The sequence below is a fragment of the Homo sapiens genome, chromosome 17 (assembly GCF_000001405.40).
Source record: "Homo sapiens chromosome 17, GRCh38.p14 Primary Assembly".
Taxonomy (NCBI): domain Eukaryota; kingdom Metazoa; phylum Chordata; class Mammalia; order Primates; family Hominidae; genus Homo; species Homo sapiens.
The window spans coordinates 64767746-64781832 of record NC_000017.11 but is presented as its reverse complement, the minus strand read 5'-3'; the positions used below and the strand labels follow the sequence as shown (position 1 = coordinate 64781832).

The 14087-nt window shown below is 54.3% G+C and overlaps 1 non-coding gene and 2 pseudogenes across 3 annotated transcripts in view, besides 6 other annotated features; 2 read left to right on the top strand and 1 right to left on the bottom strand.

The window, feature by feature from the left end:
- ARHGAP27P1-BPTFP1-KPNA2P3 (ARHGAP27P1-BPTFP1-KPNA2P3 readthrough, transcribed pseudogene) overlaps positions 1-14087 on the top strand; it is a 32338-nt pseudogene that overhangs the window by 167 nt on the left and 18084 nt on the right. Inside the window, exons 2-3 of the transcript NR_026899.1 lie at positions 153-399; positions 794-1490. The product of NR_026899.1 is annotated as an ARHGAP27P1-BPTFP1-KPNA2P3 readthrough, transcribed pseudogene (transcript). The remainder of the gene's footprint in view (positions 1-152; positions 400-793; positions 1491-14087) is intronic.
- On the top strand, positions 329-3694 carry ARHGAP27P1 (Rho GTPase activating protein 27 pseudogene 1; annotated as a pseudogene). Its single transcript, NR_027487.2, has 3 exons — positions 329-438; positions 794-1490; positions 1628-3694. The product of NR_027487.2 is annotated as a Rho GTPase activating protein 27 pseudogene 1 (transcript).
- Positions 600-699: a silencer, noted in NCBI's record as "silent region_8850". NCBI's record gives its function as "represses an Ori minimal core promoter by ATAC-STARR-seq in GM12878 lymphoblastoid cells {active_cell/tissue: GM12878}" and the evidence as "EXISTENCE:reporter gene assay evidence [ECO:0000049][PMID:35858748]".
- Positions 1009-1074, bottom strand: MIR6080 (microRNA 6080). Its single transcript, NR_106728.1, has one exon. It is a non-coding gene; the product is annotated as a microRNA 6080 (primary transcript).
- Positions 1468-1517: a silencer, noted in NCBI's record as "silent region_8849". NCBI's record gives its function as "represses an Ori minimal core promoter by ATAC-STARR-seq in GM12878 lymphoblastoid cells {active_cell/tissue: GM12878}" and the evidence as "EXISTENCE:reporter gene assay evidence [ECO:0000049][PMID:35858748]".
- Positions 2697-3365: an enhancer, noted in NCBI's record as "H3K27ac-H3K4me1 hESC enhancer chr17:62774586-62775254 (GRCh37/hg19 assembly coordinates)". NCBI's record gives its function as "activates a minimal SCP1, AML or CMV promoter by ChIP-STARR-seq in naive H9 embryonic stem cells {active_cell/tissue: H9 hESC(naive)}" and the evidence as "EXISTENCE:reporter gene assay evidence [ECO:0000049][PMID:30033119]".
- Positions 2771-2830: a silencer, noted in NCBI's record as "silent region_8848". NCBI's record gives its function as "represses an Ori minimal core promoter by ATAC-STARR-seq in GM12878 lymphoblastoid cells {active_cell/tissue: GM12878}" and the evidence as "EXISTENCE:reporter gene assay evidence [ECO:0000049][PMID:35858748]".
- Positions 2991-3210: a silencer, noted in NCBI's record as "silent region_8847". NCBI's record gives its function as "represses an Ori minimal core promoter by ATAC-STARR-seq in GM12878 lymphoblastoid cells {active_cell/tissue: GM12878}" and the evidence as "EXISTENCE:reporter gene assay evidence [ECO:0000049][PMID:35858748]".
- Positions 3366-4035: an enhancer, noted in NCBI's record as "H3K27ac-H3K4me1 hESC enhancer chr17:62773916-62774585 (GRCh37/hg19 assembly coordinates)". NCBI's record gives its function as "activates a minimal SCP1, AML or CMV promoter by ChIP-STARR-seq in naive and primed H9 embryonic stem cells {active_cell/tissue: H9 hESC(naive and primed)}" and the evidence as "EXISTENCE:reporter gene assay evidence [ECO:0000049][PMID:30033119]".

Below are 14087 nucleotides of genomic sequence, written 5' to 3'. Positions count from 1 at the left end.
TGGCCAGGAGAAGCTGCGCGGGAGACTCCCGCCATCCCCAGTCCCACCATCTCAGCCCCGCGGCCTCTTCCTCCCTGGAGACAGCCAGGATCCCGGGAGTGGCCCAGGATCCCGGGAAATGCAGGGGAGGGGGTGGCATCTTTCCTCTTCAGGCGCGGGCCTGGCCCAGAGGCGACAGGAAGCCAGGACGCCGGGGATTGTCTCTCGCAACCGCAGCCCAGCCCCAGTCCGGGAGGAAGTTCTGCCGGGCGCTCTCCGCCGGTGCCTCACTGGTTATAGTGCTATACAGGAAACCTGGCAGCGCCGGAGCCGCGCGGTCGAGGAGGGAGCGCGGGACGCCGAGCCCACGCGCGCCTGCCGGGACAAGTGGAGACGAGGCCGGCGAGCGGACGCCCCGAGGTGCCCGGGCAGGCAGTGGGCCGCCGAGCGGGAGTTGAGGTGGGAGGTGGGGTGGGGGTGGGGAAAGGGGCAGGGTTGGGGAGGGAAGGGTGCGGCAGGTGGCGGGTCCGCACCCGGGAGCTCCGCGCGCCTGCTCCCCTTGTCTCCGTGCTGGGGCGGGAGCTGCTCGGGCCGCATCCCACGGGGAGGAGAAGGTAGGCGAAGGGCTGCCCTCCCTCTGGAGGCGGGTGGGGAGCAGGCCCAGGCCCCTAGCGCCGACCCAGGCGTTGACGCCGCTGTAGCTTGCGTCGCCTGGGCAGTGGACGCAGGGGACCTCCTGGCGACGGGTGCGCTCTCGCGCTCCAGGGATCCTCTCGGCCCCCACCAATCCCTCCCCTTCTCTGTGTTCCCGCAGGTTGGCGAAGGAGCTGTGGCCGGGTCCCCTTCTTATCCAGCCCGAGACACTGCGCTCCGGTGGGCGTCCCTGCGCTGGGAATCCCTCTCGGAGTTTTTCCAGGCCCGGCCGGGTTGCTCCGGGAAAGGCCCTGTTGGGGGAGGTGGGCCCGGAGCTGGCAGGTCTACAATCCGGTTGGAAGGGCTCGCAGTGGGTGATTCAGGGTGCCAATGACCTCCCCGCGAACGGGAACGCCCGCACTAGACAACCAGCCCCAGACCGGCATTCCCAGAGCCGCAGGCGGGAGGGACGCAGGGACTCCGGGACAGCAAATCCCCGGGGGAGAAGGGAAGGGGGAAGGCGGGACAGGGGAGGCCCACCCTCCTTGGGCTCCGCTAGCGACCAGCCAGCGCCCCTTCAGACGCAGCCTTCCTGGCTCCGGACCCCGGCTTTCTGCTCCGGTCCTCGTCCCAATGCCCCCCAAGGTCCCCAGCAGAGGCATTCAGGTTCCTCCTCGCCCCGCCCAGACGCAGCTTCTTTGGGTATGGGTGACAGCACTCCTGAGCGTCGCTGTCCCTATTCGCTGCCGTTGCCAGCTCCGATTCCGCGAAACCTCTCCGGCACCACCTCGGAAGCCCCGCCCAGGGCGATGGTCCGGGCCTAACCTGCCGGCCCCGCCCACCCGGCCCTTGGGCTCCCTGAGGCCCGCCCAGCAGACGTGAGTGCGCTGCGGGGTCCGGGGGGAAGGGGCGCCGGGGCAGTGTCCACCTTGGGGTTTGTTGGCTCTGGGCAGCTCGATGACCCCGCCTCCGGGGCCCAGTGTGCTTAGTGACTCAAGTGTATACCCTTTCCTAGTCGAGGAACGCTTGACAAAGTGGCGAAGGAGCCCTACGGGAGTCCCGGATTGGACCCTGCTCCTTCGGTCCCTCAGCCTCGGCAAGCCGCGGTCTCCTGGCCCTTGGCCTGGGTCACCTTAGGAGGCAGGAGGAGATGTGGTCAGTGTGGGAGCTTGGAGGGGCCATGCACTTCCGGAGAAGACCACCGACTCATGGCTTTGGTGGAGGGGCGCCGGCAGATTTAGTTAAGCTCTCCCCCATCCCTGACACACCCAGCCGGGGCGGGAGCGGGGCTTGTGACCACTCCGGAGAGCTTTGAGGGCCCCTGCTTTGGGACTCCGCACGGACAGTCACTGTCTCAGAGTGCATTCTCCAGGGGCCACTCTCTTGGGGACACTGTAGGGGTCACAGGGCAGGTGGGCAGCCTCTCTCGGGGGGCGGCGTGAGAGCCGGAGAGCAGGGGGCGGGGGCGGGCCCGGCTCGGGCTCACGTCTGCGTTGAAGCCGCTGGGGAAGGGGAGAGAAACCGAGAGAACCGGTTCCCCCGCCTTGACAGCGGAGGCCCCCACACCAAGGCCCTTGGACTAAGCGGGGCAGGGACAGCCTCCAGGTAGAGCTGTTCGCCGGGGCGCCTGCAGAGCCCGCATCCCAACCCTGACCCCGGGGCCGGGGCGCAGGCTCCTGGAGGGAGGCGTCCAGGCGGGACAGGGCCCGGGGAGCGGCAGGAAATGGGCTGCTCTTCCCACTTGACTGACGGGAAAACTAAGGCACGGTCAACTATCAAGCAAGCGTGGTGTCGACCTTAGAGCAGGTAATCACCCCTCGTTTTAAAGCCAAAGTTTCCCTCGCAGTCGATTTGGACCAAGACTACCCACAATCTCCCCACCGCAGGACTGAAGCGAGGCTGAAATCTTAGAATCAACCCCACGGAATGAAGAGGTTGTCCTAATTCCAGCACTGAGTGTAAGAATGGAAGCCTTGCATGTGATTTTATTCAAGTCCTCATTTTAGAAATGGGAAAACTGAGGCCCGAAGGCGAACGGCAAGTGCAGCATCGGGACTCGAACCCAAGTCTCTCCTCGAGTGCTGGGCTATTCCGGGCTCAGTGGTCTTGACTTCCGCGGCCCTCTTCCTTGTTGCCTGCAGGAAAATGCCGCGGCCGCAATGGCGGCGGATGTGGAGGGGGACGTGTACGTACTGGTGGAGCACCCCTTCGAGTACACCGGCAAGGACGGGCGCCGCGTGGCCATCCCGCCCAATGAGCGCTACCGGCCGCTGCGGCGCAGCACAGAGCACTGAGCATTGGTGGCACGTGCGGCGCAAGCCCGGCGGCCGCCCCTTCTACCTGCCCGCGCAGTACGTGCGCGAGCTGCCTGCGCTGGGCAACCCTGCCGCTGACGCGCCGCCAGGTCCCCCCATCGGGACCCGCAGCCCCTGAGCCGCTCGCCTACGACTACCGGTTCGTGAGCGCGGCTGTGGCAGCGGCCCCCAACGGCCCCCCAGCGGAGCCCCGAGGCGGGGCCAGCTCCCTGTGCGGCCCTGCGCAGCGCGGCGCCGCGAGCCAGCGCAGCAGCCTGGCGCCCGGCCTGCCCGCCTGCCTGTACCTGCGGCCCACGGCGCCCGTGCGGCCCGCGCAGTCCCTGGACGACCTGACGCGCGCCGTCGTCTCGCCTCCCGCCGGCAACCTCGGAAGCAGCGGCAGCTTCAAGGCCTGCAGCGTAGCGGGCTCCTGGGTGTGCCTGCTGCCCCTGTCGCGCAGCGACTCAGAGAACGTCTAAGAGGCCATCCAGGAGGTACGCGGCCCGCCGCGGTAGGAGATCGTGAAGCAGGTACGACCCCGGGCGCGGAGGCGGGGAGGCTCGCTGAGGACAGCGCCCGCAGGGAGCCTGGGCTCGAGGAGACCCACTCCGCTCAGCGTCGGGCATGACGCCCACCTCTGTCGGAAGACTTCGGATGAGCTCCCTCTCCCCAGCCGCGAAACAGTGCAGGCCCCCATCCCTCATCTGCAATTTCCAGGCTCCAAAGCTCCCTGGAAGCCCGAAAGATTTTTCGTAATCAAATTGGTGGCAAAATTGCGCTTGAACTGATATGAGGCTGTTGATGGTCTTTATTTATCGCACTTGTGTGAATATTCATGTTTTGCTGCAGAAATGCAAATAAGCTCGATGGCCGGCTGCTGCCCCAAGCCCTGCTGGGAGGTTATGTAACCTACAGCAGGTGGGTGCCACATATTATCTTTCCAAGTCCCAGCTGTTCTATATTCCGAAGTGCATCTGGGCACGGAACGGGGGATTGCGGGCCTGCCGCCAGCTCAAGGAGCCTGGAGTCAGATGAGAGGGTGGATGTGAAAGTCAGGCGTCTGCTTCCCTTTGAGGGTGCTTCCAGCATTTCAGTTCCTTTTTTTTTTTTTTTTTTTTTTAAAAGAACTCCTGATGGGTTTGTTTCAGAAAGACGTGTTAAGTGAGGTTGTTTTTTCCCCTCTTCAGAATCCAGTTGTGTTAATCTGGGAAATCGAAAATAGAGCACGTTTTACAAACACTCTTGCATCCTCAGAACACTCTGGGGGACTCTGACATTTTGAACTTTAGGAACTTTTCAGGGAGGGGCAGCCCGAGGGGGAGAAAAGGATGCTTAGAACCGTTCTGCCATCTGCCACCGGCCGTGTGATGATCTAGAGGCAGCTCTCTTCCTCTCTCAGGGTCTCGGTTTGTTCTTTAGCACAAAGGGAGGGGATGGACAGATGACCTCTGAACCTTGGGAGCCTCTGATTTATTTCGCTGTGCCTGATGTCATTACCATGAACACTGATGCCCACCATGTGCCAGGACTGAGTCCGGGATGCCCAGACGAAGGAGACACGCCTCCGTAGGCCCGCTGCTGGGTGTTCCCTCCGCCTGTCTCGTTACAATGCAGAGCTCAGGTTTTGAGACTAGGGAAAGGGGAACTGGATTTTGCTGGGGCAGCTGCCAGCTGCTGACAGCCACTTAACTTACAAGCGAGGACCACCCCCTCCCCCCCCAGGCCCAGCGTCCTCTGGTGTAAGCACAATACCTAAGGATTAGGGTTGTGAGCCTTAAATGAATTAAGGCTTCGAAGCGCTTGGCAGCAGCAGGGGGTCCACCCAGACTGGGTCATCCTCGTTTGGCTTCCCTGGGTCTGCGCCGCCTTCACTCTGGCTCCTGCAGCGGCAGCCCGCCGCCTTGTGGCCAGGGTGGAAAACGGCACCCGGCGGGCGGGGCTGGAGACCGCGGCTGGTTCCTGTTTCGCGCCCCTGCCAGCCAGCCAGGCAGCTTCTCTGGGATGGGTGGCTGGATGCCAGCGCTCTTCCCCCGCAGCGCCCCTCCGTTTCCTGCGCAGGCTCCCGGTGGCGCACTTCCCGGCCTCTCCACATTCTCTGTCCTAGTGACGGTGGGACGGTGCCTGCCCGTCTGAGCGGAGCCCCTGGAGGTGGGGGAATGGCCTTGCTCTTTGAACCTCGCATCTGGCCCAGGGTCTGGCTCAGACAGAGTGCACAGAGAGTGTATGTTGAATAGGGCGGAGGTGCGGCAGCCCCTTACCTATGAGCCAGGCCTCTGTAGGTCTGCCCAAGGGCCACCACCCCAGGCCCCAGGACCAAAGAGGAAGGAGACTGCCCAGGTCCTGACATCTCCTGAGAAGACAGATCACCCCGGCTGCCAGGGCGCCTGCCAGGTGGCCCCTCTGCCCATCCTTCCTCCAGCTCCCAGCAGGTTCCCAGTTGCAGTGGCATATGGGGGGAGGGGCACAGGTGATGAGGGCAGGGGACTTACCCAGGGGGGAACTAGGACATTGGCCAGAGACAGGCTGCTCCCTGGCCCCACTTGTGGCCCTAATTCACTATGTGACCTCCACAAGTCACTTTGCGTCTCTGGTTCAGTTTCCTCCCCTGTGCAATGAGTGCAATAATACCACGTTCCCTGCCACGGAGCTTTATTCAAGAGGCAGCTGTGGCTCTCCCTGGTGCTCCACCCCCAACAAAGTCCAGGGTAGGGAGTTGGTCCTGCCCCCACAAGGGAACCCCACCCCTGCCCTTAGTTGTCCCAGGCGGCATTTCCCCACCATAATCCTCCAGGCCCATTCACTCGTTCATTAGGCATGAACTAGCCAAATAGCTGCAGAGCCCTGGTGAGCCTTTGGATCTAGAGAGGACTCAGGCACAGCCACGGTCCTGGGGGACTCACCCTCTTGGATAGGAGGCCAGCAACAGAAGACATGGGGCCGGGGCTCAGAGTGGAGCATGGGGTTGAGAGTGGGTGCCCACCGGGGCAGGGCCTCATGAGCCCTTGCCAGGAATGTGCACGTTATCCTGCAGCTGCTGTGAGGCTTTTAGCAGAGACAGGAATGGGATTGAGAAAAAAATCCCTGTGGCCAGGGCCTCAAGAATGGCCGAAGCTCTTGGTGGTCTCGTGGGCATGTGGTGGTAACAGAGGTTTGGGAGATGGATGGGCAGGGTCTGGGGGCCGAGGGAGGTGGGAGGGAAATCGGGTTGAGTTCAGATTCCCAGCTGGCACTTGTGGGCAGACAGTGGTGCTGCTTACTGAGTTGGGGGGTGGGGGGGACTTGGGGAGGAGCAGGGTGGAGAAAGGTGGGGCCTGCCTGGATTTAGGTGCCAGACAAAGGGAAGAGAAGCATGAGAGTGCTGGCTCAGAGGACAAGAAGTGTCCAGAAGAAAGATGCACAGGAAGGTGACGTGAGAGAAAGGCCATATAACACTTATCCGAAGTGGCCACTAGAAGCTCAGCTGGTCAGGGGGGTGCTGAAGGCAGAGGGCAGTGGTCAGGAGTGAAGTGAGGGTGCGAATTGAGTGTGTAGACAACAGACAGAAGGAGAGAGAGAGACACAGCGTGGCCAGAGGGGGTGTAGGTCATAGATGGAAACATCCCCAGGTTCAGGTGGGTGGGCAGGAGATGGGGAGGCTGAAGATGGGGAGGAGATTGTTGCTGAGAAGGGATCTCGGAAGAAAGTGGGTGCAGAACAGAGGGGGCAGGATGTGGGGATGGCATGGCACGGGGGCACTGGGGAGTGTATAGGGACCCCCGTCTGTCAGGCGGCAGCTCAGGGCTTAGGGCAGGCTACTGGGCAAGGCCAGGGACCCCCAGAACAGAGGAGTTCCTGCCATGGATGGTGTTTCACAGCCTTGTCACTCCCCATGCACTCTAATCGCACATATTGAGTACTTGGTGTGGGCTGGTCACTGTGCTGGACACTGGGGACAAAGTGTGGTAAGACGCAGTCCCAAAGGGGCTAACAGTCCTGTGGGCTCTTGCTCAAAGGCTTGTAACCCAGGGTTAAGCTCCCAGCAGCTTGGAAGGCAGGTGTAGGCACCTCCATTTGCCCTGAGTACAAACAGAGGTTCAGAGAGGTTTAGTGACAGGACGAAGCTCATACAGCCAGGAAGTGGCTGTGTCCAGGACAGTTCCAGGCCCCTGACCCCAAGCCCCACCCTGGCCAGCAGGTTCAGTTTCAGCCAGGTGGCCTTTAGGGTTGGCCACCCTGTTCCTCTCAGCAAGAACAGTACAAGCTGAAGGCAAGCAAGCGCTCCTTCTTCTGAGCATCCTGCGTGCCCAGCCCTGTGGTGGGAGAGTTGATGTCCCAGGAGAGGGACGTCTCCTGTTCTCTTGCTGCCCAGGAGAGGGCAGAAGCAACCCCTTCTGAGAGGGGAGACAGGGAGACAGGGAGAGGTAAGCAGGGATGACTCCTCCTCTCTCCCAAAGAGGCCACTCAGGGAGCCCTGGGAAGCCAGGCCAAAGGCGGTGCAATAAAGGGGCCTCTGAGACTCTTCCCCATGGCTGTGGTCCTGGCTCTGGGATCTCAGGGTGCAGTCACCATCCCCACCCAGAAGTGGGAAGGCCCAGGTGGGTGGAGCTGGCCTGGAGCCCGCCCCTGCTGCTGGGGCATTGGCCGCTGGGAGGGAAGTTCCAGCCGGTCTGCTGCACCTTCTTATACAAGCAACCCTGGAGGCGCCGCACCTGAGCAGGCAGCCCCGACTGGAAGGAGCGGGGGCCCTCATTTCTCCTCCTCCGCTGGGAACTGTGAGTGAGCCCTTGCCCCTGAGGGACTAGAGGGCGGCCACAGCAGTTTCTCCACTCTCTCCCCTCCCTTTCCCAAATCCTAAAACCCACCTGGGGGCCCCTCCTCTCTGGATCCAGGCCCAGCACCCACTTCCTAGGACAAACTCCGAGGGCAGCCCGAGGCCGCTGTGATTGAGAGAAAGAAACTGGCCTCGGGACAGACCCACCTGTCCCCACTCAGGGCCAGCCAGGGAGCCTTTGGCAAGGGGCGTTGGTAATAGCAGGAAGCTAAGTCCAAATTGAGGGGACTCCAGCTAGCCCCTTGCCTGTACTCCCTCCTCCAACAACCCTCACCCCCACCCTCCAGCTGGGGCAGCCGCCTCAGCTGTCTCCCTCCCAGGGACTCACCTGCAGCCCCAGGCTGTCCCAAGAGCCCCTCTGCCTGCCTAGGACCTGACTTAGGAGAGAGCAGCTTCTTGGGTACCCCTCCCACCCTCACCCCACATTGCTGTCCCCCCAGAGATCTCCCTGCACACCCCCCCAACTCCCCTGCAGGCCACATGGTCTCTGGGGGTCTCCCTGGAGCCTGCGCCTGGTTCTCACCTCTTTAGTCCCTGGCTCCCTTCGGCCCCCAGAGGCCTGAGATGGGCCCCACCTGCCCCCTCACTTCCTTCCCAGGCCTCAGTAGTTGACCTCACTCTAGACCTATTTTTTAATGTTTATTTTATTTTAATAGTTGTGGGGAGCACGTGGTGTTTGTTCTTTAGTGGCGATTTCTGAGATTTTGGTGCAGCCATCACCCGAGTGGTGTGCACTGTACCCAATGTGTAGTCTCTTGTCCCTCACCCCCCTCCCACCCTTCCCCCACTCCCAAGTCCCCAAAGTCCATTATATCATTCTTAGGCCTTTGCCTCCTCATAGCTTAGCTCCCATGGACCTATTTTCTCTGCCCTTCTTAGAGATGACTATGTCCAGTACAGGGAAGGGTGGGCATCAGTACTTCTGAATGCCAGCCTGGATGGGTGGTCAGTGCCAGGCCCTGGGGAATGGGAAAGTCCATGATCGTGACCAGGGGGTAGCTGCTGACCAGAAATGCGGTCGGGGCTCCATGCCTGAATGTTAGGGAGATTCAGAGCTGGATCTGTGCCGGGGAGTGAGAGGTCAGCGGCTGTTTGTTCATATTGAGGGGGAAATAGGGCTGCCAGGACTAGGGCTCTGGGGCACAGGGGCATAGGGGCACAGGTGCTCTTGCTAAATTTTGGGAAGCTCTGTTTCCAGATTGCAGAAGGATTCTGGTGTTGAGGGAACTTGCAGAGCTGTTGCCAGGTGAGCCCCGCAGGACCCTTCTGTCCAACTGAGGCCCCTGTGGGTGCCCACCCTGCCTCCTTGCCTTCTCCTGGCTGGGGGTCCCCTGTGAGGCATGAAGGGAGTGGGGCAGGGGCCCCCGTCCAGGCCTTTGTGTCTGTCTAGGGGCTGGGCCAGAGAGAGGAAGCAGAGGTAGCAGAAGGGCCTGCCTGCAGAATCCTCCCAACCTCCCCCTTCCTTTCTCCTCGTTGGCCCAGTTAAATGTGTAAATTACTATTCCCTCCCTATAAAAATAGCTTAACTCCATTACAAATATTTGAATAATAGGAGGAAATCTCAATCAAATGACTGTTAGCATGTTGGTTTCTTCCCATTTATTCTGCCTTCTTATGTGTATGTCTTGGGCAGTTCCCATAGAGACATCACAGCGTAATGACGATTGTGCCTTCTGCTTTTTCACTTACCATATTCACCTAGTCAGTGAATGTCAGCTGCTGTACTGGGCACTAGGGAGCAATGAAAAATAAAGGATGGTTCCTGCCCTCAGGTAGCTTACTGTCCAGGAGAAATTGAACAGCAGATCCAATTATGATATGGTATGGCATGGTAGTTATGGTATGGCAGATATGATATGATATGACATGATGCATCTGCAAAGAGCTGTGGGGGGCATGTTGGAGGAGCCATCCTCCCAGAATCTTGTTCGCAAGAGGGAAATCCAAGAGTGCTTCCTGGAGGAGGAAGGTGTTGGCAAAGATGAATTCAAAAGGTTTCTACAGTTCCCTCTCATGAAACCCTCTGGACCTGGTGCCTTTTTCAGTGGCAGATTTTTTTTCTCATCAGTGGTAATTAGTTTATTTAAGTTTCTACTCACCTTCTAGTTAATTTTGGCCATTTTATATTTTACTAGGAAAGCATTCATTTTCTCCAGATGTGTAAAATCTCCACTTTTAAAATTTATTATGAATTTCTTTGTGACCAAGTAAATGATTTTTCTAAGTTTTTCATAGACATATAAGAAAAATGCATATTTTCTTATTTTTATTTTTATTTTATTTTTTTTGAGATGGAGTCTTACTCTGTTACCCAGGCTGGAGTGCAGTGGCACAGTCTTGGCTCACCAAAACCTCCACCTCCTGGGTTCAAGCGATTCTCCTGCCTCAGCCTCCTGAGTAGCTGGGATTACAGGTGTGCGCCACCAAGCCCAGGTAATTTTTGTATTTTTAGTAGAGAGGGGATTTTGCCATGTTGGCCAGGCTGCTCTGGAACTCCTGACCTCAAGTGATCCACCCATCTCAGCCTTCCAAAGTGCTGGGATTAATGCATATTAATCCCTGGACGGAAAAATGCATATTTTCCATTTAAGGGCTATAAGGTCCTAACTGCATCAAATCAAGTTTATTGATTATATTATTCAAACTTTCATTTCCTTTGTATCCTTTGCTTGGGGGCAGGGGTCTTTTACTCTAATTCTGATAGAGATGTGTTATGTTAAACCTTCCACTCACATTTTCTCTATAAAGCTCTTCTGGTGCTTTTCCTAGTTTTTGCTTTTTATATTTAACTACGATGCTGTCGGGAGCCTGCAGATTTTGAGTATTCTGTCATGTCGTTACAAATTGTGCTTTTCTATCATTACGTGGTGTCCCTCTTTATCCTATTATAGTGCTTAACCTTAAATTTCACCCTTCTATTGTTAATATGACCACTCCTTATTTTACTTTATTTTTTTTTTTTGCACTTGCTTAGCATTCTTTTATTTTCTACCATTATCATTTTTTGAAACTACTAATTTCTTGTATATGTCACATCACTGTTTTGTTTTGTTTGAGACAGGGTCTCCCTCTGTTGCCCAGGCTGGAGTGCAATGGTGTGATCATGGCCCTCTGCAGCCTCAACCTCCCTGGCTGAGGCAATTCTCCTGCCTCAGCACCCCGAGAACCTGGGACCACAGGCCTGTGTGCCACCATGCCCAGCTAATTTTTTTTTTTTTGGTCTTTTTTGTAGAGATGGGGTTTCTTCATGTTGCCCATCACCACTGTATTTTTGTTGTCTTCATTTTTTCTCGTTTGTTTGTTTTTTGAGATGGAGTCTTGCTCTGTCACTCAGGCTGGTGTGCAGTGGTTCGATATCGGCTCACTGCAACCTCCGCCTCCCAGGTTCAAGTGATTCTCCTGCCTCAACCTCCTGATTAACTGGGATTACAGGCACATGCCACCACGCCCAACTAATTTTTGTATTTTTAGTAGAGACAGGGTTTCACCACATTGGTCAGGCTGGTCTCAAACTCCTGACCTCAAGCGATCCACCTGCCTCACCCTCCCAAAGTACTGGGATTACAGGTGTGAGCCACTGTGCCCAGCCTATCACTGTATTTTTAAACCCAAGATGACTCGTCTTTTGGTGGGAGAATTCACTCTGTTCATGTTTCATTTAACAATTGATCTACTGTACTTAATTACCTTTGGCTTATTTTACATTTATTGGTTTATCTTGTGTTTTTCTTCCCTCTGATCTGGTTATCGATTTCCTTTTTCTTCCCCTGTTGCACTTTCCATTTCATTATTGGCAGCTGTCCCTTCTCTGGGGTTCCTAATCAAACACATATTCTTTAGCACATGCCTCGATGGGGATTCTTTTCGCAGCACCCTCATCTGGAGCTCACAGAACCTGTCACTCTGTAGGTTCTGGTCTTTTTTCAGCTTAGGAACATCTATTTGTTGCTTGATTTGATTATTGTTAGTTTGTTTATTTATTGAGACAGGGTCTTATTCTGCCACCCAGGCTGGAGTGCTGTGGCACAATCACGGCTCACTGCAGCCTCCACCTTCTGAGTTCAAGTGATCCTCCCACCTCAGCCTCCTGAGAAGCTGGAAATACAGGCACACGCCACCAGGCCCAGCTAACTTTTTTTGTATTTTTTGGAGAGACAAAGTTTCGCCATGTTGCCTAGGCTGATCTTAAATTTCTGGGCTCAAGCGATCCGCCTGCCTCAGCCTCCCAAAGTTCTGGGATTACAGGCATGAGCCACTGCGCCCGGCCTGTTGCTTGATTATTGTTTCTTTTACCTTTTCTTTCCTTTGCATGTGAGTGCTCCTGACTGGGTCCCCTGCAGTTTATCTTTGGCATCTTTATTTCAATCTTGGTGTACTTTTGCTCTGAAATTTGATATTTCTTTTTGACCTTCCAGGCTGCAAATTTGAATCTCAAGAGTGAATTTATTCCCCTTCAACTAATACAATGACATATTTTAAGTTCTAAAAATCAGTCCTTTTTAAAAATTCTGCTTGATTCGAGTCTCCTTAAGAGTTTGTATTCAAGTTGTAATTGCATTCTCCAGGCCCTCTATTTTGCCAATAGCCTTGAATTTATTTTACTAGGTAATGTATTTACAGGTTTTTTTAATCAAAGCAATATTTTAAAATCTATAGTAAAAATCTCACATGTACCCTGTTTCCCTGCTCTGTTCTCCATCAACTCAAAAGTCACCCCTTTCGTTCATTCTTTCTTCATTCTTCCAGAGTTTCTAAGTACAAACTAGTATAACTACATATCTGATTACTTAATTTTCTCTCTCTCTTAAGCAAAGGTAGTACCTTGTACACACCATCTTGTGTGTAAAACAAGATTTTTTTTAAAAAAACAAGCTTGTTTACTTTTATTTATTCCTTTGACAATGTATCTTGGAGATTATACCTAGAGAGTTTCTATCTCTTTCCCTACAACTACAAATAATCCATTTTACCAGTCTCCTGTTGACGGGCACTCGGAATGTTTCCCATTTTTTGCTATTACAACAATGCCATAATGAATACTCTTTTATATATGTATAGGTAGATGTTGGAAAAATTCCAAAAATGGGATTTTGGGGTCAAAAGGTAAATAATAGATACTTGATGGGTATATCCCATGAGGCATATACCAATTTGACCTCACCAACACAAATGAGGGTGTCTTATTCCCCACAGCCTTGCCAACTAACTGTTGTCAAACTTTCCTTTTCTGCCAATCTGACCATAATATGTCTTATCTTAAGGTACTTTAAATTTGCATTTTTCTTTCCAGAAAGAGTATCTTTTCATATATTTAAGGGCTGTTTGTCCCCCTCCACTTTTTTTTTTTTTTCTGTGAGTGGTCTGTTTATATCCTTTGCCTGTTTGTGTATTGGGTTGTTAGGTTTTTTTCTTATTGAGTTCTAGTAGCTTTTTCTATACTAGAGAAAATAGCCCTTTGTCTATTATTACCTGAGTTGTAATTCCCTCCGCCACCCTGAGCTTGTCTTTTGACTCTGCTAATAGCATTATTTTGCCACACAAGTTTTCTTAAAACACATTTATGTAGTCAAATGTATCACTCGTTTATTTTATGGCTTTTATATTTTGAGTCTTTGTTACAAAGTCTTATATTTATATATATACATATATGTATACACACACAGACACAACATATTGAAGCCATATATACACACACATACAGCATATTATATATAATATATATTTATATATATACATACAGCATATTGAAGTCTTTTATATATATAAAGAGACATATATATAAAATATATGGGCTTTTATATATATGTACATACAGCATATTGGATTTTGTTTTCTTTTTTGATTATTTTTATGGCTTCATTTTTAAAAATGTAAATCTTTAATCCTTTGAAGGTTAATGTGGATGGACAGAATGAGATGTGGACCCTCCCTTATTTATATACATGTTTATTTGTTTATCTCTGGATGGGCTAAGTTGTCCCAGTTGTCCTGTGACCTTTCACTGACAAGTCTGTCTTTCCCCATGACCTGTGATGGCATCTTTAGTGCGTCCTGGGTCCCGGCTGTGCTGGGGTCTGGTAGCAGCGGCTGGTTTAGTGTGTCCTGGGTCCTGGCTGTGCTGGGGTCTGTTAGCAGCGGCTGGTTTAGTGTGTCCTGGGTCCTAACTTTGCTGGAGTCTGGTAGCGACGGCTGGTTTAGTGTGTCCTGGGTCCCAACTGTGCTGGAGTCTAGTAGCGGCGGCTGGTTTAGTGCGTCCTGGGTCCCGGCTGTGCTGGGGTCTGGTGGCAGCAGCTGGTTTGGTGGTTCTCTCTGTTGCCCCTGCTGAGCTGTCACAGAGTGAGTTTGCTCCTCAGAGCTGGAGTCAAGCTGCA